The sequence below is a fragment of the Homo sapiens genome, chromosome 22 (genome assembly GCF_000001405.40).
Source record: "Homo sapiens chromosome 22, GRCh38.p14 Primary Assembly".
In the NCBI taxonomy this organism is placed as follows: Eukaryota; Metazoa; Chordata; class Mammalia; order Primates; family Hominidae; genus Homo; species Homo sapiens.
In genome coordinates this window covers 38,551,688-38,578,110 of record NC_000022.11, presented here as the reverse complement: position 1 = coordinate 38,578,110, position 26,423 = coordinate 38,551,688, and the positions used below count along the sequence as shown (strand labels likewise).

Below are 26,423 nucleotides of genomic sequence, written 5' to 3'. Positions count from 1 at the left end.
TTTATTTCATTATTTAATTTTCAGTGTTCTTTAGCTATGGTTTATGTATTTACTATCTTATAGTTTTTATCATTATTTTATGGTGTACTCCTATTTATTAAAAAAAATGTTAACTGTAAAACAGCCTCAGGTAGGTCCTTCAGGAGGTATTCCAGAAGAAGGCATTGTTATCATAGGTGATGACTGCTGCATGCATGTAATTGCCGCAGAGACCTTCCAGTGGGACAAAGATGTGGAAGTGGAAGACAGTGATATTAATGATCCTGACCCTGTGTAGGCCTAGGCTACTGTGTGTGTTTGTGTCTTCATCGTTAACCAAATAAATTTTAGGTAAAAAAAAAAAAAAAAAATTGGCCGGGCACGGTGGCTCACGTCTGTAATCCCAGCAATTTGGGAGGCCGAGGCAGGTGGTTCACTTGAGGTCAGAAGTTCGAGACCAGCCTGGCCAACATGGTGAAACCCTGTCTCTACTAAAAATACAAAAATTAGCCGGGCGTGGTGGCATGCACCTGTAATCCCAGCTACTTGGGAGGCTGAGGCAGGAGAATTGCATGAACCTGGGAGGCAGAGGTTGCAGTGAGCCAAGATAGCGCCACTGTACTCTAGTCTGGGTGACAAAGCAAGACTCCATCTCAAAAAAAAAAAAAAAAAAGGCCAGGCGTGGTAGCTCATGCCTGTAATCCCAGCACTTTGGGAGGCCAAGGCGGGCGGATCACGAGTTCAGGAGATCGAGACCATCCTGGCTAACATGGTGAAACCCCATCTCTACTAAAAATGCAAAAATTAGCCGGGCATGGTGGCGCACGCCTGTAATCCCAGCTACTCAGGAGGCTGAGGCAGGAGAATCACTTGAACCCAGGAGGCGGAGGTTGCAGTGAGCCGAGATCACACCACTGCACTACAGATTGGCGACAGAGTGAGACTTCATCTCAAAAAAAAAAAAAAAAAAATAGTAAATATTTTCATTTACATACAGCCTTTAAAGGAACACATTACCTGGAACAAGATTTAAAGAAGTACAAATATCTAGGCACAAATGAATTTCTGGTTTAGCTTAAACTTCTTTTATAAATAACCATTTACATAAACTTTTAATATATTGAGATATAACATACTTCTATAAGATAGACAATAAATGACAAAGCCCAAAAGGATTATTTTATATATACATAAATATAAACATGTATGTGTTTTATACATATTTTGTGGGTTATACGTACACATAAAAGTTATATATAAATGTTTTATGTATTAAATACTGTATATTATGTATATTATATGTGTATATATATTTACATATATATATACACACAGTCATGTGTCACTTAAACCATGGGGATATGCTCTGAGAAATGCATTATTGGGTGATTTGGTCATCATGTGAACAGTATAGAGTGTACTTACACAGACCTAGTACACTCTATGTTATACCTGACTGCAGGCCTAGGCTATGTGGGATAGCCTATTGCTCCTACGCTACAAGCCTGTACAGCATGTTACTGTACTGAATAATGTAGGCAACTATCACACCATGGTAAATGTTTGTGTGTCTGAACATATCTAAACATAAAAAAGGTACAGTAAAAATATAGTATAAAAGATAAAAAATAGTACAACTACATAGGGTACTTAGAATAAATGGAGCTTATAATAAATGGGCATTTATAATAAATGGATCTGGAAGTTGCTCTGGGTGAGTCAGTGAGTGAGTGGTGAGTGAGTGTGAAGACCTAGGACATTACACTACTATAGACTTTATAAGCATTGTACACTTAGGTTACACGAAATTTATACAAAAATATTTTTCTTTAATGATAAATTAACCTTAGCTTATTGTAACTTTTTTACTTTATAAACTTTAATTTTTTTAAACTTTTAAACTCTTTTGGAGTAGCTTAAAACACACATTGTACAACTATACAACAATATTTTCTTTCTTTATATCCTTATGAGTTTATACCCTTATGAGTGCAATGGTGCGATCTTAACTCACTGCAACCTCCACCTCCCGGGTTCAAGTGATTCTCCTGCCTCAGCCTCCTGAGTAACTGATTACAGGCGCCCACCATCACGCCTGGCTAATTTTTGCATTTTTAGTAGAGATGGGGTTTCACCCTGTTAGCCAGGATGGTCTCGATCTCCTGACCTTGTGATCCACCCGCCTCAGCCTCCCAAAGTGCTGGGATTACAGGCATGAGCCACCATGCCCGGCCTTTTTTTTTTTTTTTTGAGATGGACTCTTGGCTCACTGCAACCTCCACCTCATGGGTTCAAGCGATTCTCCTGCCTCAGCCTCCCGAGTAGCTGGGACTACAAATACACGCCATTGCACCCAACAATAAGTCAAGTTTTTGCCCTGACATTTCATTTATCTAGAACCTGGATAGATTTTTCTAGAACTTGCATGGAGTCTGATTTTTTTCTCAGAACAGTACTCAAGTAGGTGAACAGAAATTGGTAGTATGTGAGCAAAAACAGGACATTTAGCCACCTGGCTGTGGTATATTGGATTATAGTTAAATAAACAATATTTATGAAATTTAAAAGGTGCAAGAGAAGAAAACGTGATTTAAAAAAAAAGCAAGGACAGACTAAGACTGAAGTGAGTATCAACTGTCAATCACAACACTTAGAATGACCTGTTTATGCCTTTTTCTTCCTTGTACTACTGAAAGCAAGATAGGTCACCAGCAGCTCTACTGGAGCCACCCAAGAAAATGTGGCCAGTGTTGGTGCTTTTGTCACGTCTGCTCAAACCAGCAAGGTCTGATTCAGAAATATGGCCTCAGCCGGGTGCGGTGGCTCACGCCTGTAATCCCAGCACTTTGGGAGGCTGAGGCGGGCAGATTACTTGAGGTCAAGAGTTCCAAACCAGCCTGGCTAACATGGCGAAACCCTGTCTCTACTAAAAATACAGAAATTAGCCGGCATGGTGGCAGGCCCCTGTAATCCCAGCTACTCAGGAGGTTGAGGCAGGAGAATCACTTGAACCCAGAAGGTGGAGGTTGCAGTGAGCTGAGATGGCACCACTGCACTCCAGCCTGGGCAACAGAGCGAGACTCCATCTCAAAAAAAAAAAAAAAAAGAAAAGAAAACGAAAAGAAAAGAAAAGGAAATATGGCCTTAATGTGTGCTGCCAGTCAGTACGCGAAGGATATAGGTTTCATTAAGTTGGACTAAGTGATCTTCCTTGAATAGATTATCCAGGGCATCCACTCAATGAAAGAAAAAATCTTTTTACATAAAATAAAAATTTAAAATTTTTTTTTTGAGACGGAGTCTCACTCTGTCATCCAGGCTGGAGTGCAGTGGCGCGATCTCGGCTCACTGCAACCTCCGACTCCCTGGTTCAAGCGATTCTCCTGCCTCAGCCTCCCGAATAGCTGGGATGACAGCCACGCTCCACGACACCCAGCTAATTTTTGTATTTTTAGTAGAGACGGGGTTTCACCATGTTGGCCAGGATGGTCTCGAACTCCTGACCTCGTGATCCGCCTGCCTTGGCCTCCTGAAGTGCTGGGATTCCATGCGTGAGCTACTGCAACTGGCCTAAAACAATTTTTTTAAAGGAACAACCTGTTTATCGGTCTGCCTCTCCCAAGCACTGTTGCTTTCCACAGCAGAGACTTAGTCACCTTTCTATCTGTGTGCTTAGCACAGTGCACACTATTTTTCCCTTAATGCATTTTTCACAATTCTGCTTATATAGTTCTTTGTATAAAATCTATCTTTCCTACTAGACTGTAAGCTCTGTGACAGCTATGAAATAACCAACTCTTTCTCTGCTGGTAAATGGAAACTAGAAAATGGAAACTAGTACAACCAAATATTTCCATGAGCTTTAAATATTTATCAATAGCCTTAAAATTGTCCACAGCCTTTCAATCAATGATTATAAATCCAGAAATCTACCCTAAGAAAAGTGATCCTCAGCCGGGTGCAGTGGCTCATGCTTGTAATCCCAGCACTTTGGGAGGCCAATGTGAGAGGATTGCTTGAGCCCAGGAGTTCAAGACCAGCCTTGGCAACGTAGCGAGACCCCATCTCTATTTTTTTATTATAAATAAATAAAAGTAATCCTAAAAAACAAACAATGCAAAAAGATGCTGACACTAATTAGTAATGTCCAATAACAGGGAATTTGTTAATAATACATTCAATGGAATATTATGCAATCATTTAAAATTATGCTTAAGACATGGAAAAATGCTTATTAGGTGACTGAAAAGTAGGATCAGAAATAAACAGATATGCGGCCAGGTGTGGTGGCTCACACCTGTAAACCCAGCACTTTGGGAGGCCGAGGTGGGCAGATCACGAGGTCAGGAGATCAAGACCATCCTGGCCAACATGGTGAAACCCTGTCTCTACAAAAAATACAAAAATTAGCTGGATGTGGTGGCATGTGCCTGTAATCCCAGCTACTCAGGAGGCTGAGTCAGGAGAATCGCTTGAACGAGGGAGTCAGAGGTTGCAGTGAACTGAGATCACGCTACTGCACTCCAGGCTGGTGACAGAGTGAGACTCTGCCTCAAAAAAAAAAAAAAGAAAGAAAGAAGTAGATATGCAAAAATATATACAACTTTTGCCTTTTATTTTTGCTAATCAATGCTTTGAATAAAGATGGGAACTTTGGTTTTTTATTTTTTGGTTCATAATCCTACAGATTTTTTTTCTTTCCAGTAAATCTATACTAAACCCCTTTAGGTTAATGCAAATCCACACACTGCAGAATTAGTATCTTTCAGAATATTCCCTCTGCTGAGGCAAGAAACACAGTATTTGAAATGTCTATATAAACTAGAAGTGTAAGAAAAAAAGCATGACAAGATTGATGGAACTAGAATACTGAGAAAAAAAGAGAAAGTTTGGCGAATGTAAGAGGTGTTTTACTAGTCATTCATTCTACAAATAAGTATTGAGCTCCAGCTAAATGCACTCTCTTAAGTTAGTACTGGTTCCCTCTTATTACCTGACTAATGAATTACTCATGGGTGTCAGCCTCTAAATGCCATGTTCCCCACTTACCCACAAACTGAATAAGATGTCCCTCCCATGTGTTCCTATGGTACCCCGTATTCCTTCTTGTAACTGGAGGTGAATAATGTAAGACCCTAGGTTAAAATTTTAATCGACTCTTTACAAACAGCAGTCATTTTAAACCTTTATGTAGCCAGGGGAAGAGCCACTAAGAGGTACAGGTCTCAGCAATAGGCTACAAGTACCTTATTCTTAAAGGGAAATTATTTGAAATTGGAGATAAAGAAATGGAACACTGCTGGATGCAGTGGCTCACGCCTGTAAGCCCAGCACTCTGGGAGGCTGAGATGGGAGGATCACTTGAGCCCAGAAGTTTGAGACCAGGGCAACATGGTGAAATCACATCTCTACAAAAAAAATACCAAAAAATTAGCTGGGTGTGGTGGCTTGTGCCTGTAGTGCCAGCTACTCAGGAGGCTGAGGTGGGAGGATCGCTTGAGCCCGGGAGATTGAGGCTGCTGTGAGCCAAGATCTTACTTACCACTGTACTCTAGCCTGGGTGACAGAGGGAGACCCTGACTCAAAAACAAAAAGCAAAACAAAACAAACAAATATTTTTAAGGGGAATTCTACCCAGTGAAATTTGTACGTGATGAGCCTTCATTCTTTAGTTCTCTACTAAAGCATTTCTCAAATTCAAGCTCTTGAAATTTCAAGAATATGTATCAGCAAGCATCACTTTGTAGAAGCCCAACTATACGCGCTGGAATCCTGTGCCTCTATTTGGTTATAAGGTGACTGTCCACGGAGGGGCAGTAAAGTGTAATAGTTTAAAATTCAGGTCTTAACTATAATCCCACTGCCTATTTTTTTATTTCTAAAAATATCATAAAAAGACACAAAATTTTAAAATTGTGTAGAGAAATTGTGGACTTCCTGAAGGATTTGAAAAATTAGGCAAGCTATATTATCCAGTTAATAATTGACACAAAAGCTCTGGTTTGCCATGTTCTATATTGTGGATAGGAAAGTACCATTTTGCCATGCAGGATATATTTTTTTAAATATAAGCATACTTAACAATCTTTCATGGCTTCTGAGTTTTGTAGCATACTTAAAAAGATGTTTCTTATTACAAAGTAATTTTAAATATCCCATATTTTCTTCTAGTACTTTTATTATTTTATTGTTCAGATTTAATTTTTTGATCTGTCTGGAATTTATTTTGGTATAATGTGTAAAGTGTGGTTCCAATTTTATTTTTCTTCCAGATGGTTACCTAGTTGTTCTAACACTATTCACTGAATTCATCATTTCTCCACTGATGTGAAATGCCACCTTCATGATATTCAGAGTTTTTGTATGATACGAAAGACAATTTTTTTGGTTCCGATTTTAGTGGAAAGTCTTCATGTGCACTTTTTAACTGTCCTAGAGTTTGTTGTTGTTTTAAATATCTTAAAAGTTGTCTCTAACCATCGATATGATACCCAGATAAGATTTTTCTCCTCCCTTCATGAATTTGTCATTACCCAGCTCATTTTAGTTTTTTTAAGTGTACTGCACACAACCTTCAAATATTATGAACATTTCTCTCTCCCAGCTGTCACTACACCAAACTACATATGTTATATTTCCCTAAATCATCTTGCTGTGCTCTTTGCAGCTCTTCTGTAGACTGTTGATGTCTTCACCTAACGAGTTGCTCAAAAGTTCCCATAATTATTTAGGTGAGGCCTCAGAGCGAAAGCCTTTCACCACTATCCAGTTCCTCCCCCAAATGGGCATTCATCTCCATATAACAAGGACGACTGTGTTTGGGGGAAAATAACAGATTTGGAAGCACAATGGCAGTTATTTGTTGGCTCTTAAAACAATCCACCTGTTGGGGGGGTGCGTCCTACACAAAATGCCAACTGCTATTGTGGGAATGTTTTGCTATTTATTCCACCAAAATGATTCAGACAGAAAAAACAAAAAGGATCGCCCTGTACTAGGTCTTGAACCCAAAGAACTGTTTGCACAGAGATTCATCCAAGATACATCACAGCCTCCACCTCGGCAGCTGCTCTCTCAAATGTTTCCTGACTCTCCCCAAGTCAGTCTCCGCGTGAGGGGAGGAGGAGGATGCTGCCAGCGATGGCGCTGCTGGCACGAAGGCTGGCCTGCGACTTCTATTTAAAAGCTGAACCAAAATATACTTGGCGTCTGTGGTCTATTTAAAACTTCAAGTTAAGACAGAGAAAAAATTACTCTCCATCCTGAATGGGCCTCGGGTGTCTCAATCACAGACAAGAGTGGCAAATGGTGAGAGTCAGAAAGTGGGAAATTAGGAACGCTGAGGGAGCACGGCCAAACTCTGAAGCCAGCATGAAAACCTGGAGGTGAAAAGAGAAGCCATGGGCAGCGGGGGCGGGGGGAAACGGGCCCGGATTCGACCTTCTAAGCCAAGGCTCCATCTGCAACCCTCGCGACCAAGACCTATCGCCAAAGTCAGCCACCTCTGCTCATCGCCCCTCCCCCGACTCAAGGCTACCTCCTCAGAACCCCGCCTCAGGGTCTTCTCCCGGACTTTAGCGAGGTGCTCAGCTCGAGGGACGCCCCAGCTCAACGGTCTCCCTTCAAGGCCCCGCTCCTCAGCGCGCTCCTTCCACAGCGCCCCTCCCTCCCTCCCTCCGTCATCCCAGCTCGCCACCCGCTGGGGCTCCTCTTCGTTTTCCGCGCCTCAGCCCTCGCCCCGCCCCCTCGCCCTGAGCCCCCTCCAGGCCACGCCCTCTGGTCCCCCCACCTGTGAGCCCGCTCGTTCCCCGCCCTTCGGTCTTCGCCCCGCCCCCATTGCTCCCCGCCCCTCGTCGCCCTCTGTAGGCCTGCTCCCTCCCCGCCCTTCCACCCTCACCCTGCGCCCCGCCCCGGCCCCTTGGTCCTCGCCCCGCCCTCCTCGTTTGGCGCCAAACCCTGTGGTCAACGGCGCGCGGGTCTCCAGGCTCCGTGTTCTAGGCCCGAGTTAGAATCCTGTCAGCTGAGGAGGTCGGGCGGGGCAGAGGGGCTTCACCTTGAAAATCTCGGGGAGACTGTGGGTACGAGGGGGGTAAGTGGCAAAAACGAACAGCGTGCGAAGACTCTGAGGGGACGCTCGTTTTGAGAAGGCGCGCTTCCCTTTCTCGCTCCTTTTTTGGGGTCCCTGGGCTAGTGACTTTGAGCGTTCCGCTCCGACCTTTGGGGAGGAATTTTAGTGATCTTGAGGGATTTCCAACCTCATTTTCAATCGAATCGGACCTGAGTCTAGGAGAGCCCGCCTCATCCTCCTGACCAGGGAATCCGGTGTCAGGAAAATGTCCGGCGGCCGCAGGGGGTCTGCCCAGGCCTCCTGCTGAGGGAGGCGTCGAGGGCGACCCGACCGCGCTGCTGCCCCCACCAGAGGGGACAGCTGGGTCGTCTTAAACCGGGGGATTGGGGAGCCCTACTTTCAATCCAACGGTTCAGTCTATCAACGGCTCCTTGAGAGATGGGGGACAATCTTTTCATTTCATCACGGGGAGAAGAAATGAATGCTGTTTTTCTCTTCGATGGGGACAGTAAATGTGGAATTGGGGTACTCATAGCTAGCCATCTGAAGGACAGTGTCCCCGAAGATCCCATCCGAACGGTCTCGGTTGCCTTCCATCCTTTGCCGTTTGAGGTGCTGGGTGGTAGGACCCTGCTCCTGCCTTAGTATTAATGGTTCGTTCCCTTTGTTCTAGGGTCCAACCCCTGACTTTGGTATCAAATGAGGAAATGGAATCGACCAAGAAAAATGATGATTTGGACCGCATTTTATTGTAATAAATAAACACAATCACGCCTTGTGGATTCCTGAGATTTCTTTTTGAGTCTACAATGTTAAAAACTTTAACTGCTTATCAGCCTTAATATAATATTATGATCCACCAATTTTTTTTTTTTTTTTTGAGACTGAGTCTCGCACTGTCGCCCAGGCTGGAGTGCAGTGGCATGATCTCGGCTCAGTGCAACCTCCGCCTCCCAGGTTCAAGCGATTCTCCTGCCTCAGCCTCCCAAGTAGGTGGGATTACGGGCGCCCACCACCACGCCCGGCTAATTTTTTTGTATTTTTAGTAGAGACGGGGATTGGCCAGGCTGGTCTCGAACTCCTGACCTCGTGATCTGCCTGTCTCGGCCTCCCAAAGTGCTGGGATTACAGGCATGAGCCTCCACACCCGGACCACCATATTTTTAAATCTTAAAAAAATCATGAAACTAGTAAATACTGTGAAAGAAAGTATAGCTAATGTTCTATGAAACAAAAAGGTGGATGTTACAGGAGTACCCATTCATAATCAGCAGGCAGGAAGGCATTCATCATAGATGAGAAAAATAGAATCCATTTATTGAGGACAAAGTTGGAGGTGTCAGGGAGGACACAAGGAAGAATGATATAATGTCAAGGTTCCTAGAGTATTGTTGTTAAACATAAACAAGAAAGGTTAAAAGCAATATGCAATTCTAAATAACATTCAAGGCAGTAATAAAGTCATGATTAGCTGTGCAATGGAAACCAGATGATAAGTGATCACTGTTGGGGAAAGAGAAGAAACTAAATAAGCACCCCCCAATTTGCCCCTCAGGCATCTGTGTGCATGTGGGGACACACACACACATGCACACACACACACACACACACAAGAAATAATGTCACATGTCTCGCAGAAAGAAGATAGGCTGGCCTCATCTTTCCAAGCTAAATGCTTCTCTTACTGTCCTTCTAGTCCTTGTTGACTTTGAAATGAAATCAGAGGCCCCTGGACAAAGGACTACTTCTTACATAATATTTCTTATTTTCCCAGAAGTGATTATTTTTCTGTTGCCCACTTTTCAATATGAAGGAGGATCAAGTTGTGGCGGAAGAACCAGGATTCCAAGATGAAGAGGTATGACTAAAATGTTGAAAGATATATAGACATTCGATCATTCCGCAAAAATCAAGTTCCTTCCCTGTTAGCTACTATTTTTAGAAGCTGAAAGTAGAAATAACACATAGTTATATATTGCAAATATGTAACAACTTGTTTGGCAAGGATGCTAAGATTAGCTACTTAGCAACTGGTATGAAAGTATTTTAATGACTTAACAGCTGGTATGGCCATACTGGTACCTACACACACGGGTACCGAATAGCAGCCTGGTCCTAGAGGAAGGAGTTTAGGATCTGGAGGGGAAGAGGGTTGAGAAAACATATTTAAAATAGTTCAAATGTTGTTCCAGTCCTTTGGGTAAAGGTTTTAAAATTTTAGGGAGGACATGACAAAGGTAACTGGCTTCCCAGCCCTTTCAATGTTGGTGCTTCTTCTGTGTTTGAAAAACGGTATTGATCCTTCCTCAATCTCTAGAGAAGCGGAATTTGAGGCATTTTGGAGTGACTCATAGTATTGAATTACCTCTTTAAAAGATGTGAAATAGCTGGATATGAAGAATCAAAACTTCATTTTTTCTGTTTCATCTCCTTTAGGAATCTTTGTTTCAAGATATTGACCTGTTACAGAAACATGGAATTGTAAGTAGTTTTTCAATGCTGTGTTAAATTGTCTGATTCAGGATTTCTCAGCATCAACCTTATGGACATTTGGGCCTGGATAATTCTTTGTTGCAAGGGGACGTCCTGTGCATTGTAGGGTGTTTGCAACATCCTTGGCCTCTACTCACTCACTGCATGTCAGTAGCACCCCTGCAGCTGTGACAATCAAAATGTCTCCAGACATTGTCAAGTGTATCCAGAGGACAAAATTAAGTTCTATATGTCAGGCGACTGGAATAAATGATGTTGGCAGAAATCCAGCCTTTGAATAATGACCTGGGTGGATTTCAACAGCAATCAGTTGATAGTAAAACTGTGCTGACATTATCTGTTGTAGCCCTAACATTTAATCTCTTTCAGTGGTTTTAGAAAATAGAAGCAAGAGAAAATCCTGGTCCTTTGGTGATGTAGTTATTTGCATTCTCCAGGGGCAGAGGAAAAAAAAAATCTTTACAAATTTAAAAGAACATGTTGGTAATGAAGTTCTGTAGAAGGAAGGAGCTGAACTGAGGGGGTGAATGTGTGATAAATTTGTTAGCTTTTCCACCAACAGGCTTTTCTTTTGAATTCCTTGTTACATTGCCATGGTCTCACTAACATTCTTGGGAAATCAGGGCACAGTCAGAACATTTGGCAGCCTGCTGAGTATGTTCTACTCAGATATTTCCAGAACATTTGGCTACATGGTGGGTGGGTTCCACCTGGCAGCTTGTATAAAATTGGCATCATGGTGGAAGGAGATGGACACAGAAACACATGACATAGTATGGGAGCCTTGCAGGCTGGCATCTTATCAGTCTGCTGTGCCCATTCTTTAATTTACAGAACGTGGCTGACATTAAGAAACTGAAATCAGTAGGAATCTGTACCATCAAAGGTATACAGATGACAACAAGAAGAGCTCTATGCAATGTCAAAGGACTCTCAGAAGCCAAAGTAGACAAGATTAAAGAGGCAGCGAACAAACTAATTGTAAGCAAAATCCATTCTTTGCTGTTTTAGCTTGGCAGGGCCTTGTGAATCTTTATAGGCTTTCTCATGAAAACTAGAAATTATTGTGGGAACTGAGTTCCTGTAGATCACAGTATATTATACTCCCCATGTTAACTTTTTATCACTTCAGTTTCAAAGCAACAGCAATTGATTTCTGAAAGATGAAGGTAGGGATTAAGAGACCTGGAACACTAATGAAGGTAATTATTTTTGCCAAAACTTTTTGTCTCTCTTTATATTACTTTTTCTGGCTGTCTCTGCCTTTCCTTCTCCTTTCCTTTTTTTTTTTTTTTTCTGAGACAGAGTCTTGCTCTGTCGCCAGGCCAGAGTGCAGTGGCGTGATCTCAGCTCACTGCAACCTCCACCTCCGGGGTTCAAGCGAGTCTCCTGCCTCAGCCTCCTGAGTAGCTGGGACTACAGGCACACAGCACCACGCCCAGCTAATTTTGTATTTTTAGTAGAGACGAGGTTTCACCATGTTGGCCAAGATGGTCTCAATTTCCTGACCTCGTGATCTGCCTGCCCTGGCCTCCCAAAGTGCTGGGATTACAGGCATGAGCCACCATGCTCGGCCTTCATTTTTATTTTTTACCTTTCTCCTCCTCAGTTTTGTCTTGTCTCCTCAAATATCATACCTATGGCTGTTGTGAAGCACTGAGTACCAAAGAAGTTGCTCTCTCCTGGTATAGGAGATTGATATATAGCCAATTGATATAGCCAATTGATAAGAGAGCACTGGATTAGAAAAAGACCAACAGTGGTTGGGTCTACATATGTGCAGTTGAGATAGATATGACCAAGCATGTGCTCACTGAAGCAGCTGAGCTAAGCTAACCCATACTGATGCAGGGCAGGTGAGCCCCCAAATTGAGGCTTAACCTGGGAGGGTTCTTGGCTTTGCCCAAAGGTGAGCCAGTGGTGTTGGACAGCAACTTTTGTTGAAGCAGCCCAGTACAGTGCAGCAGAGGTACTGCTCCTTGCAGAGCAGGGCTACCTCATAGGCAGTATGCCCAGAAGTAGCAGCTCAGAGGCAGTTTTGCCATTATAGTTATACCCACTTTTAATTACGTGCAAATTAAGGGGCAGTTTATGCATAAATTTCTAGAAAAAGTGGTAATTTCTGGGTCATTGGGTCATTGCAATGGAAAGGGGCAGTAACTTCCAGGTGTTGCCATAGCAATGGTAAACTGACATGGCACATTGGTGGGCCATGTCTTATGGAAAGTTGCTTCTGCCCTGGACCCTGTTTTAGCTAGTTCTCAATTTGGTCTGGTGTCTGAGCCCCACCTCTGGAGTCAAATCCCCTCTCCTACCTTACTACTTTCTAGCAGGGCCCACTGACTGTGAGGGGCCTTTGCAACTGCCAGGCTGCCAGACAAAAGCCTATATACCTTTGACCCAAGCTTTTATGTAGAGCTTTTGGGAATCACTAGAGGTACCAGCTCTTGAAATAGGAAAGCAAAGAAAGGTAGTCACTAAGTCTTCCTCTTCATTTAATAGCAGGCCTCTCCATTTCTCTATTGGTATGTGAGGGTCTCATTCCCAGTGAGTCTGAGAAGCTCTCTTCACCAACGGCCATTTGGTTTCCTTCTTCAGAGGCAGCCAAGGCAGGAGAGTGATGCAAGTGGCAGTGTGATCCTGAACTTGGAGGGGACTCAACCGAACTGAATCACTCTGAACCCAGCTCAGTTGCTCTAGCTTCTGAGTACACTCAGGCAGTGTACCCACAAGTCAATTCCACAACTGCCAGGGTGTTGAAGAAAGCCCTGGAGCAGTACTCAGGGTTTGGGAAACTGCTCTATGACATTAGAGTTGTTTTCTTTGGAAATTAAATCTTATTACCAAAGAAAAGAACCTCTCTCTTTCTCAAGCACCCACTACTGCACCAAGAATCTTCTCCTTTCTTAGCTTAAACTGTTTATTCTTTTTTATTTGTATTTTTTAAGAGACGGGTATCAGGCCAGGTGCAGTGGCTTACGCCTGTAATCCCAGCACTTTGGGAGGCTGAGGCGGGCGGATCATGAGGTCAGGAGTTCAAGACCAACATAGTGGCCAACATAGTGAAACCCTGTCTCTACTAAAAATACAAAAATTAGCCAGGCATGGTGGCAGGTGCCTGTAGTCCCAGCTACTTGGGAGGCTGAGACAGGAGAATCACTTGAAACTGAGAGGCAGAGGTTGCAGTGAGGCAAGATCACGCCACTACGCTCCAGCCTGGGTGACACAGCGAGACTCTGTCTCAAAAGAAAAAAAAAGAGAGAGAGAGAAGGGTATCTCACTATGTTGCCCAGTCTGGGCTTGAACTCCTGGGTTCAAGTGATCCTCCTGCCTCTGCTTCTGAAGTACATGGGACTACAGGAATATGCCACTGTGCCCAGTTTTATTTATTCATTTATTTTTGAGACAAGGTCTCACTCTATCACCCTGGCTGGAGTACAGTGGCTCAATCACAGTTCACTGTGGCCTTGACCTCCCAGGCTCAAGCGATCCTCCCACCTCAGCCTCCTCAGTAGCTAGGACTACAGGCATATGCTACCATGTCCAGCTAATTTTTAAAAATTTTTGTGGAGGCCGGGCCTGGTGGCTCACGCCTGTAATCCCAGCACTTTGGGAGGCCGAGGCAGGCGGATCATGAGGTCAGGAGATCGAGACCATCCTGGCTAACACAGTGAAACCCTGTCTCTACTAAAAATACAAAAATATTAGCCGGGTGTGGTGGCAGGCGCCTGTAGTCCCAGCTACTCGGGAGGCTGAGTCAGGAGAATGGCGTGAACCCAGGAGGTGGAGCTTGCAGTGAGCTGAGATCGCGCCACTGCACTCCAGCCTGGGCGACAGAGCGAGACTCCATCTCAAAAAAAAAAAAAAATTTGTGGAGATGGGGGAGGGGTGGTCTTACTATATTGGCCAGGCTGGTCTTGAACTGCTGGCATCAAGCAGTCCTCCCGCCTCAGCCTCTCAAAGTGCTGGGATTACAGGTGTGAGCTACTGCACCCAGTTGTTTATTCTTAGAGATAGAGAAAGTGATTGAGAGAGAGAGAGAGACAGAGAGAGAGGAGAGAAAGAAAGGAAGTTAATTTCATAATACGGTGGTTCTAAACACTGATGTGTATCAGAATCACCTGGTGTGGCTAATAAAGAAAACAGAAGCCCAGACTTGGCTCACTCAAGTAGGATAGGACCTGGGCTTGGCTGTCCCCATTCTCCAAGTTCTCCAAAGTTTAAGAACCACAGTCATAGTATAAAACAACAAAGAGGGACACCCATTAGACTACATTGGGGCCCATTTTCACTAGTCCTCCACTGCATCAGCTGTACCTTTTTAATCAGTCAATAAGTAGTATATCTACCATGTGAAAAATGTTGTCTCAAGAATAATGAAAACTGGAATTTCTGTGCCCCTTGAAACTTCTACAGCTGGAAAAAAAATGATGCTGTTGAATGAAAAAAAGTGAATTGTTAGTAAAATACCCTCTGCTTTATGCCATAATTATATCTCATTTGGCTGGGCACGGTGGCTCACGCCTGTAATCCCAGCACTTTGGGAGGCCAAGGCAGGTGGATCACCTGAGGTCAGGAGTTTGAGACCATCCTGGCCAACATTGTGAAATCCCATCTCTACTAAAAATACAAAAAATTAGCCGGGCATGGTGGCAAGTGCCTGTAATCCCAGCTACTTGGGAGGCTGAGGCAGGAGAATCACTTGAATCCAGGAATATGTGTATATATATGTGTATATGTATATATGTGTGTATATATGTATATGTATATGTGTATATATGTATATGTATACACATATATGTATATATGTGTATATAACGTGTGTATATATGTGTACATGTATATGTGTGTATACATATGTGTGTGTGTGTATATATATATAATTTAATTTTCACAGCTACTCCTTGAAGAAACACTGTTGCATGTTTGACCCAAAAGAGGAAGCTGATGTATAGCAAGATTAAGTAGTTTACTCCATATCATAGAACTAATAACTATTAGAGACATGATTTGAACCTAGAAAGGGCAGCTCTAAAGCCTGTGTTCCTAACCATAATCTTGTACTGCCTTCAAGGACAAGTGAACTGTAGCTTATACCAAATGATGATCTTAATAACTGAGTATATCATTTTGGGCAACATTTGAAAATACAACCATGATCTTTAAACTCTTTTTGAACATTTCCTTTTATCTTTCTGTAGGAACCAGGATTCTTGACTGCATTTGAGTATAGTGAAAAGAGGAAAATGGTTTTCCATATCACCACCGGGAGCCAGGAATTTGAGTATGTATCTTACTTTTTTATAATCACTAAGCATAATCTTTGGAATACCATGTTTCTTTTCCTCTTTCTGGTTACTTCTACTATAAGTAGTAGAAGTAGCTTCTTCATTTGAAGTTTGGGTTTGTTTGTTTTTTTTTCTAAATGATAACTGAAACAAATTCTAGACTGCTTGGAGGAGCAAGATTAAATGTCTTACAAGAAATTCAGACCCAAAATCTAGTTTCTGAATCAGCCAATATTAATCTCAAACCACTTTTAAAAATCAGTTTAACTTTTCATTTACTTTCCTTCTCCATATGAAGGATGTTTCATTGCACATTTTGGGTTTACTCAAAAAGCAATTGTTAGATTAAATATTTCAGAAATATTGCAGTTATTTTTGCTCTTCTGCAGGAGAAGTTTTAACATCCCTTTTTATTTACTCTTTTATGATCCCCAAGACATATCATCATCTTCTCAATGCAAGTTTACTAAAATGTGGGTTTTTTCTCCCTACCTTACTAGAAAGAATTAGTGTTTCATGTGTTACAGCAGTGCCCAAGAGCATTTAGAACAAAAGCAGTATTTCCTCTAAGTATTTCTCAAAATGCTGGCCTCACAAGATACATTAAGAAAAAAAGGATTTCATAGTCAAATATACCTCCACTTGAACGTCTAATTGATAGCTCAGACTTCACAGGTCCAAAAATCAAACTTCTGACCTTTGCCCCAAATCTGCTTCTCCCAAAGTCTCCCTCATCTTAGATCTATCTCTTTCCTGATCCTCTGACCTAAAACCTGGGTGTTATCCTTGACATCTTTTTTCTCTCACACACCCTAACTCTAACCCATTAATAAATCCTGTCTGTTCTAATTTCAAAATATATTTAGTCAGAACAAACCTCCCAGTTTCCTCAACAAATAAATTACAAGGAGGAAAAAAGAGATGGAGTCAGGGAGAAGACCTATAGATTAAAGAGATTTAAAAGACATATCACCTGGCCGGGTGCAGTGGGTGACACCTGTAATCCCAGCACCTTGGGAGGCCAAGGCTGGAGGTGGGGAGGGGATCTCTTGAGATCATCCTAACGGCAAACTGAGACCTTGTCTCTACAAAAAAAAAAAAAAATTAATTAGCTGGGTGTGATGGTGCACACCTGTAGTTCTAGCTACTCAGCAGTCTGAGTGAGATAGAAGGATTGCTAGAGCCCAGGAGGTTGAGGTTGAGGCTCTAGTGAGCCGCGATCATGCCACTGCACTCTAGCCTGGGTGACGCAGAGAGAAACCTTGTCTGAAAAAAAAAAATTAAGGAATTACTAAATTTAAGTGTGATAGTGGGAATATGGTTGTTAAAGATGAGAGTCTTCATCTTCATCTTTTAGGGATACATACTGAAATATTTATAATGAAATGATATGTTGCTTAGTATATGCTTAAAATAATATGGGAAGGGAGGTAAATGGTTAGTGGTCTATATGAAAAAAGATTTACCCTGAGTTCATAGTTGACGATTGTTGAAGCTGAGTGATAGACACGATGGTTCATTATTTTTTTTCTACATTTGTTTATGCTTGATATTTTCTATAATAAAAGATTAATATATAATATATGTTATTTTTATGTGTATATGTGTGTGTGTACATAGAGAGTGAGAATATAATTCAACTATTTCTTACCACCTCTACTGTTACCTCACTGGACTAAACTACCACCTATTAATATCTCCCCTGGATTATTATAATAACCTCTAATTAACCTCCCTCCTTGAGACCTTGCCCCTACTGTTTTGTTTTTTTTTTTAATTCACTAAAGAGCCAGAATGGTCACTTTAAAACATAGGTTAGGCTGGAATGCAGTGGCTCATAACACCCTGATGATTCCCCCTCTCACTCAGAAAAGAAGCCAAAGTCCTCTCCCATCTCTAATATTTCACTTTTCTAGTTTTCTATGTACCAGCCATAGTGACCTCTTTGCTATTCCCAGAATATGTCAGATACACTCCTGCATCAGGGCCTTTGCACTTTGTGCTGCCTCTGCCTATCATATTCTTTCCTCTTAGATCTACATGGCTTGCTGTCATCTCTTTCAGGTCTTGGCAAAAATGTCCATGTCTCAATGAGAACTTCTCTGATCACTTTATTTGACAGTATAACCTCCTAACTTTCATACTCTGTCTTCCTTGTCCCCTTTCCTGGCCTTATTTTTATCCATACCATTTAATAACATCTGATGTACTACATATTTTACTTATTTGTGTTTATTTTTTATTTTATTTATTTATTTTTTTTTTCAGACGGAGTCTTGCTCTGTCACCCAGGCTGGAGTGCAGTGGCATGATCTCAGCTCACTGCAACCTCTGCTGCCCAGGTTCAAGCGATTCACCTGCCTCAGCCTCCCGAGTAGCTGGGATTACAGGTGCCCGCCACCACGCCCGGCTAATTTTTGTACTTTTAGTAGAGACAGGGTTTCAGCATCTTGGCCAGGCTGGTCTTGAACTCCTGATCCCATGATCCACCGCTTCAGCCTCCCAAAGTGCTGGGATTACAGGTGTGAGCTACCGGCGCCTGGCCTATTTGTGTTTATTATCTAATCTCTCACTAGATTGTAAACTTCGTGAGAGAAAAAAATTCTGTCTCTTTTGTTCTCTAGTTTATCCCAAGTGCACAAAACAATCCCTGGCATAAACTAGGTGTGCAATAAATATTTGTTGAATGACTAAATGAATGAATAAACAAATAGTGAATAAGTTTGAGAAGTACCATATACTATATATTCTTCTTGAAGAGTCACAGCGCACACTAGCCTGTGAAATCCTGCAGTGACACAAAACACCTGTTTTGGCAGGGCACGGTGGCCCACACCTGTAATCACAGCACTTCGGGAGGCCAAGATGGGTGGATCACCTTAGGTCAGGAGTTCTAGACCAGCCTGGCCAACATGGTGAAACCCTGTCTCTACTAAAAATTACCAAAAAAATGGCTGGGCACGGTGGCTCACACCTTTAATCCCAGCGTTTTGGGAGGCCGAGGCGGGTGGATCACTTGAGATCAGGAGTTCGAGACCAGCCTAACCAACATGGAGAAACCCCGTCTCTACTAAAAATACAAAAAATTAGCCGGGCATGGTGGCATGTGCCTGTGGTCACAGCTACTCGGGAGGCTGAGGCAGGAGAATCGCTTGAACCTGGGAGATGGAGGTTGTGGTGAGCCGAGATCGTGCCACTGCACTCCAGCCTGGGCAATAGAGTGAGACTCAGTCTCAAAAGAAAAAAAGAAAAAGAAAATACCTGTTTAACCCAGCATTGTCCCAGACTTTTAAAATCACATACCCTTTTTTCAAGTAAAGTTAAGGAAGAGGCTTGGAGAAATCCTACCCCTAGGCAAATTGGTCAAAATGAGGTTGATCAACAAAACACTTGATTCAAATGACAATCTGATTTTCTTTAGTTACTCTACCACATGGTGGTCTAAGAACCACTGGGCTAAAGAAATAATTACTGTTATTGTGAGTTTTCTGGTGCCCTTGATGTTTGCTCTTGAGAACAGAAAAGATCATTCAGGAGCTAGGTTTTTTTTTGTTGTTTGTTTGCTTTTGAGACAGAGTCTTGCTGTGTCGCCCAGGCTGGAGTGCAGTGGCATGATCTCGGCTCACTGCAACCTCCGCCTCCTGGGTTCAAGCAATTCTCCTGCCTCAGCCTCCTGAGTAGCTGGGACTACAGGTGTGTGCCACCACACCGGGCTAATTTTTGTATTTTTAGTAGAGACAGAGTTTCACCATGTTGGCCAGGCTGGCCTCGAACTCCTGACCTCAGATGATCCACTTGCCTCGGCCTCCCAAAGTACTGGGATTACAGATGTGAGCCACTGCGCCCAGCCAGGAGCTAGGTTTTTAAAAATTAATATTTAATTAATTAAAATATTATACATTTTTCCTTAAGCTTTAAGTCCCTTTATAAATCTAGCACATTTTAAGGGTGCTTTTATAACAAGATTAAATTCTCTTAAACATTTTAATTATGTTTATACATTTAGTGTATTGTATTTTCTTTAAGAACTTTATTTGTTGGCCAGGTGCACTGGCTCACACCTGTAATCCCAACACTTTGGGAGGCTGAGGCGGGTGGATCACAAGGTCTCTACTAAAGACAGGATCACCCTGTCTCTACTAAAAATACAAAAATTAGCCGGGCATGGTGGCGGGTGCCTGTAATCCCAGCTACTCAGGAGGCTGATGCAGAGAATTGCTTGAATCCAGGAGGCAGAGGTTGCAGTGAGCCAAGATCACGCCACTGCATTCCAGCCTGGGCGACAGAGTGAGACTCCGTCTCAAAAAAAAAAAAAAAAAAAAAAAAGAACTTTGTCTAATTATCTAATTATTAACAGCAAAATCTTCCCAATTACCTAAATATCTTTTGTAACTCAAATAAATTTAGAAGTATAGTGAGTTGTAGGCACCATTAAATGTTCAAATACTATTTATAAAATTAGTTATCAACTTGAAAATTGAAGGAATGTACCATTTAATCAGTCAGAGGCCAATCCATTACAAAAAGGTCAAATTATCTTAAACGTTAAAAGGTCTCAAATAGCAAATATGCACAGGTTATTACCAAATTTATTTATTTATATTCTATTTTATTTTTTGAGACACGGTCTCACTCTGTCACCCAGGCTAAAATGCAGTGGCTCCATCACGGCTCACTGCAGCCTGAGTAGATGGGACTGCAGGCACAGGCCAGCATACCTGGCTAATTTTGGTATTTTCTGTAGAGACTGGGTTTCGCCATGTTATCCAGGCTGGTCTTGAACTCCCAGGCTCGAGCGATCCACCTCCCTCGGCCTCCCAAAGTGCTAAGATTACAGACATGAGCCACCATGCCCATATTGCCAAATTTAATATGAAAATAGTAATCTATGGGTTTGATTTGTGTCTCTATTTTTAAATCTCCCTATATTTAAAAACACTATTTCTACACTTAATTCTAAATTTTCCTGAGTCTCAAAAAGGAAACAATTGTGCTATCCCAAATAATTTGGGGTATCCTCACAGGTAAATTTTGGGGTTACCTTTTCAGCTGATTGAGATTACATATCAACCAGGAATTTTGTCTGGGATTTTCCAGAGGTATAGCTTTCCAGGGTAATTTTTCTCAGGAAGAAGAGGGACAAATAAAGCTTTCTTTAATAGTTGCTAGCCCAACCACCATGGCACACGTTTACCTATGTAACAAACCTGCATATCTGGCACATGTACCCCTGAATTTAAAATAAAAGTTGAAGAAAAAAATAGTTGCTGGGCCTATAAGATTTCCAAGTGTATTCCCTCCAAATGGGTTGATCGCTTAGCCCATGTCCTTTAGATTTAAGTTGTGCAGGTACACTATCTAGATTTTTCTTTTCCTTATTGAAGTCTGCAGCCCTCACTAAATTTGTGGATAACTTCCAACATTGTTTCAATTTACATTTAAATTGCTCTCTTAAACTATGTAAATGTAAATGTATTGGATTATCTATATATCTTAAATTTTTGTCTGACCTGTGATCACATCCCAAAAAATCATGTTAATAGACTACATACAAGGTTTTTAAAGTGCCCCTACCAGGTCTTAGCACAATTAACACAATTAATATGTGTTGCATTTAATGAATGAATGAGATCATGACTTAAATTTAGGCCTTTTCTTATTCAGAGCTTTAAATGCACTACAACATTGGGCTACCAATTAAATGTATGCTGTCAGAATCTGACAGTTACTCTTCTAACTGCTAGCATTACCTACAACATCTTTGACATTTACTATTCTGACATGTCCTCCATAATATTTGGTTTATGTGAGATAACCTGACCATAATGACAATCACTGGATTTTCCTAATACCTGTTTTTCATATGTTTTTCAGTATATTAAAAACTGAAGCCGGGCATGATGGCTCATGTCTATAATCCCAGCACTTTGGAAGGCCAAGGTGGGCAGATCTCTTGAGCCTCAGGAGTTTGAGACCAGCCTGGGCAACATAGCAAGACCCCAGCCATACAAAAAATAAAAAATTAGCCCTGTGTCAGGTGACAGAACAAGATTCTGTCTCAAAAAAGAAAAAGAAAAAACATTGAAAATTCAATTGACTATAGAAACATAGTTCCAGCACAATATTAAATACCCAATTAATAACTAAGATGGGCTGGGCATGGTGGCTTATGCCTGTAATCCCAGCACTTTGGGAAGCCAAGGCAGGCGGATCACCTGAGGTCAGGAGTTCGAGACCAACCTGGCCAATATGGTGAAACCCCATTTCTACTAAAAATACAAAAATTAGCCTGGCGTGGTGGCAGGCACCTGTAATCCCAGCTACTCGTGAGGCTGAGGCAGGAGAATCTCTTGAACCTGGTAGGCGGAGGCTGCAGTGAGCCAAGATCACGCCACTGCATTCCAGCCTGGGCGACAGAGCAAGACTCCATCTCGAAAAAAAAAAAATAATAATAATAATAATTAAGACGATCTGTAACTCCAATTCAATTCTAAAGACTAGTAAGACATAAGGCCTTGCTAACCCATTTACTATTTTTTTAAGTTTTTTCTTAAAATAATTTATTATTATTATTTTTTAAGCCTACAGCATGCAGTATTCCCAGGTTCCATTTACTATTGAAGTAAGAACGATAGGGCTTATCATTTGTTTTGCTGATCCACTTGCCCATACACAATAGAACCTGTGATCTAGCAAGTGGCATGCTATTTGTTCAGCCAAGAATTGCTGTTCATGTTCTGTAGATAGATAGGTAGATGATAGAATAGATAGATAGATACATAGATAGGAAGGATACTAATGATATGAATACTTTCTCCTCTCTTAATATTTCTATTTCTATTCCTGTTACTAATGCTTTCTTTCTATTTCCAGTAAGTTACTAGGAGGTGGAATTGAAAGTATGGCAATTACAGAAGCTTTTGGAGGTAGGTAGAACCTTAATATTTTGTTAAATGAAATATTATACACACACACATACACATCTATGTGTATACATACACATATAATTAAATAAACAACCAATAATAAATTGTAAGTATTTTGGAACTTACAAAATCTCAATTATCATAACATGAGATCATTCTGTACTGCAACGAAAATATATATGAACATTAACAGATGGGTCTTATCAACACTTTTCATCTTTTATTTGTGATTCCTATAGAAGATAATAGATTTTTTTTTTTTTTTTTGAGACGGAGTCTCGCTGTGTCACCCAGGTCCAGGCTGGAGTGCAGTGGCGCAATCTCGGCTTCCTGCAAGCTCTGCCTCCCGGGTTCACGCCATTCTCCTGCCTCAGCCTCCCGAGTAGCTGGGACTACAGGCGCCTGCCACCACTCCCAGCTAATTTTTTTGTATTTTTAGTGGAGACGGGGTTTCACCATGTTAGCCAGGATGGTCTTGATCTCCTGACCTCGGCCTTCCAAAGTGCTGGGATTACAGGCGTGAGCCACTGCGCCCAGCTGATAATAGATTTTTTTTCACTTATTTGTTCAAAAGGTAATTGAATAATGAGGCTGATTTTATTTCTAGGCAATTAATGTTCCATGAACATAGAGACTAGATTCCCTCTTCCCTGATTATATCCTCTATTTTTTTTTTTAAATAATAGATAAAGGGTCTCGCTATGTTGCCCAAGATGGTCTCGAACTCCTGGACTCAAGCAATCCTCCCACTTTGACCTCCCAAAGTATTGGGATTACAGGCATGAGCCACTGCACCCGTCCTATCCTCTATTTTTAAAAAGCAATTCATGCATAGCTACACTGTGTATCACATCTGGGAATTCCAGTATTTGCTGTCCTTGGAGAACTAAATCTGTTTTTTTTTTTTTTTTTTCTGTTGACTTGGGCACTAAATCTGGTTTTCATTATTTCTGTTGACTCAGTCTTAGTGGCTTACCTTCTTCTGTATTTATTGGTGTTTCTGAGCTTATTGTTTGATTTTAATCTATGAAAGTTCAATGGACCTGGATTGGTAGGTAGGAAAGTTTTCCTCCAGAACGAATTTGCTTTTGCTGGTAGCTAGGGGATGGCACCAGTTTAAGACTACTTCAGCTCCCCTTTAAGGACCTCAGTTCAGTAGGGGAACCCCAGGCTTTCTTTCCTGTGGTGGGGTCTTTATTTTATTTTCATTTATTTATTTATTTATTTAGAGATGGAGTCTTGCTCTGTCTCCCAGGCTGCAGTGCAGTGGTGCCATCTCGGCTCACTGCAACCTCTGCCTCCTAGGTTCAAGCAATTCTGCCTCAGCTTCCTGTGTAGCTGGGATTACAGGCAACTGCCACCACGCCTGGCTGATTTTTTTTTTTTTTTTTTTTTTTTTTGGAGATGGAGTCTCGCTCTGTTGCCCAGGCTGGAGTGCAGTGGCCTGATCTTGGCTCACTGCAACTTCTGCCTCCCAGGTTCAAGCAATTCTGCCTCAGCCTCCCAAGTAGCTGGGACTATAGGTGCACGCCACCACACCCAGCTAATTTTTTATTTTTTAGTAGAGATGGCATTTCACCATGTTGCCCAGGCTGGTCTCGAACTCCTGAGCTCATGCAGCCTGCCCGCCTCGGCCTCCCAAAGTGCTAGGATTACAGGCATGAGCCACCATGCCCAGCTAATTGTTGTATTTTTGGTAGAGATGGGGTTTCACCATGTTTGCCAGGCTGGTCTCGAACTCCTGACCTCAAGTGATCCATTCATCTCATCCTCCCAAAGTGCTGGGATTACAGGTGTGAGTCACCGCACTTTACCCCAGGTGGTAGGGTCTTAAACTTTCTTTTTTTTTTTTTTTTTTTGAGACGGAGTCTCGCTCTGTCACCCAGGCTGGAGTGCAGTGGCGCGATCTCGGCTCACTGCAAGCTCCGCCTCCCGAGTTCACACCATTCTGCTGCCTCAGCCTCCCGAGTAGCTGGGACTACAGGCGCCCACCACCACACCCAGCTAATTTTTTGTATTTTTAGTAGAGATGGGGTTACACAGTGTTAGCCAGGATGGTCTCAATCCCCTGACCTTGTGATCCACCCGCCTCAGCCTCCCAAAGTGCTGGGATTACAGGCATAAGCCACCGCGCCCGGCCTTAAACTTTCATTTATATGACTGTTACTAAGGAAAACTTGATTTAAATTAATTTATATTAAACAAATAAGGCCGGGCGTGGTGGCTCACACCTGTAATCCCAGCACTTTGGGAGGCTGAGGTGGGCGGATCACCTGAGTTCAGGAGTTTGAGACCAGCCTGGCCAATATGGTGAAACCCCATCTCTACTTAAAATACAAAAACTAGCCGGGCGTGGTGGCAGGCACCTGTAATCCCAGCTACTCAGGAGGCTGAGTCAGGAGAATCGCTTGAACCCGGGAGGTGAAGGTTGCAGTGAGCTGAGATCGTGCCACTGCACTCCAGCCTGAGTGAGAGCAAGACTCTGTCTCAAAAAAAAAATAAAAAATAACATCCGAGATACTTTATAAGTAAGATTTGCCAGTTGGAAAAGAAAAAGAAAACAGTAATATTCTAAAGCCATGTTTTATTCTTTATGAAAATATCTGGAAATTATGCATTTTTAAAATCATTTTTTTCTGTATTTCACAGAATTTCGTACTGGAAAAACCCAGCTTTCTCATACCCTCTGTGGTAAGGATATATAACAACAATAACAATAATAATCATGGCTATTACTTATCAAACATCTACTATGTGCCTGATACTCTAAATAATCTCATATCTGAACATACTTGCAAGGAAACTAAAACACAGGCAGATTAAGTAAACTGCCCGTGGTTATACAGCTGGTCTTTGAATGTGTGATCCTTGAGGTGATGTATGTGCTGCACTATGAACACCTGAGTAGAAATAGAGAGAAGTTGAATGGGTGTATGAATGTGTTGGTGAGGAGTCCACTGTCTCAGTTTTTCCCATTCCATCTTTTCTATATCTTTTTTAGAAGAGTGACACAAAATCTATTGAGTCCTAGAATCTTTCACTTTCCATGGCATAAAATTGGCCCTAAGAGAGACTTAAAAACAAAATTGTTTTAAACAAAATAACGAAAGATATCTCCTTTTCCACAAATACACTACTGTGCATTTCTTTGAGCTATGGAGAAGGAACTTGGCAAAGTGGTTAAGAAAGGAGTTCTGGCCGGGCCCGGTGGCTCACGCCTGTAATCCCAGCACTTTGGGAGGCCGAGGCGGGCGGATCACAAGGTCAGGAGATCCAGACCATCCTGGCTAACACGGTGAAACCCGGTCTCTACTAAAAATACAAAAAAATTAGCCGGGCATGGTGGCGGGCGCCTGTAGTCCCAGCTGCTGGGGAGGCTGAGGCAGGAGAATGGCGTGAACCCGGGAGGCGGAGCTTGCAGTGAGCCGATATCGCGCCACTGCACTCCAGCCTGGGCAACAGAGCAAGACTCGTCTCAAAAAAAAAAAAAAAAAAAAAAAGAAAGGAGTTCTGGAATCAAAATGCCGGACTTCAATCCTGGTTCTATCGTTAGTAGCTGTGTGACCTTGGGCAAGTTGCTCTACTTCTCTAATTTCCCCCACCAATAAAATTGAAATAATGACAGTGCCAAATGTTAGGATTGTTTTGAAAAGTAAATGAAATAATGTA

General features: G+C 42.1%; 1 protein-coding gene, 1 long non-coding RNA gene and 1 pseudogene across 20 annotated transcripts in view, besides 3 other annotated features; 2 read left to right on the top strand and 1 right to left on the bottom strand.

The window, feature by feature from the left end:
* On the top strand, positions 2,680-3,180 carry RPS29P31 (ribosomal protein S29 pseudogene 31; annotated as a pseudogene).
* LOC105373031 (uncharacterized) lies at positions 6,753-7,611 on the bottom strand. The gene is made up of 2 exons (NR_134627.1): positions 7,517-7,611; positions 6,753-7,358 (listed from the first exon to the last, which is right to left on the bottom strand). It is a non-coding gene; the product is annotated as an uncharacterized LOC105373031 (long non-coding RNA).
* Positions 6,829-7,339: an enhancer, noted in NCBI's record as "H3K27ac hESC enhancer chr22:38966777-38967287 (GRCh37/hg19 assembly coordinates)". NCBI's record gives its function as "activates a minimal SCP1, AML or CMV promoter by ChIP-STARR-seq in naive H9 embryonic stem cells {active_cell/tissue: H9 hESC(naive)}" and the evidence as "EXISTENCE:reporter gene assay evidence [ECO:0000049][PMID:30033119]".
* Positions 7,193-7,242: an enhancer, noted in NCBI's record as "active region_19013". NCBI's record gives its function as "activates an Ori minimal core promoter by ATAC-STARR-seq in GM12878 lymphoblastoid cells {active_cell/tissue: GM12878}" and the evidence as "EXISTENCE:reporter gene assay evidence [ECO:0000049][PMID:35858748]".
* Positions 7,643-7,932: a silencer, noted in NCBI's record as "silent region_13723". NCBI's record gives its function as "represses an Ori minimal core promoter by ATAC-STARR-seq in GM12878 lymphoblastoid cells {active_cell/tissue: GM12878}" and the evidence as "EXISTENCE:reporter gene assay evidence [ECO:0000049][PMID:35858748]".
* The window catches only part of DMC1 (DNA meiotic recombinase 1), a 61,037-nt gene continuing 42,541 nt past the window's right edge, over positions 7,928-26,423 (top strand). For 4 of the 19 annotated variants that reach the window (XM_011529837.3, XM_011529834.3, NM_001363017.2 and 1 more), the window contains exons 1-7: positions 7,928-8,068; positions 9,822-9,905; positions 10,484-10,528; positions 11,375-11,521; positions 15,742-15,824; positions 22,702-22,754; positions 25,404-25,445. In XM_011529837.3, the coding sequence (XP_011528139.1) occupies positions 9,855-9,905; positions 10,484-10,528; positions 11,375-11,521; positions 15,742-15,824; positions 22,702-22,754; positions 25,404-25,445 (421 nt within the window). In that variant the 5' untranslated portion in view covers positions 7,928-8,068; positions 9,822-9,854. Of the gene's footprint in view, positions 8,069-8,720; positions 9,037-9,701; positions 9,906-10,483; positions 10,529-11,374; positions 11,522-15,741; positions 15,825-22,701; positions 22,755-25,403; positions 25,446-26,423 lie in introns of those variants that run through there. The other 15 variants (XM_047441079.1, XM_047441080.1, XM_047441076.1 and 12 more) reach the window with 9 other exon arrangements.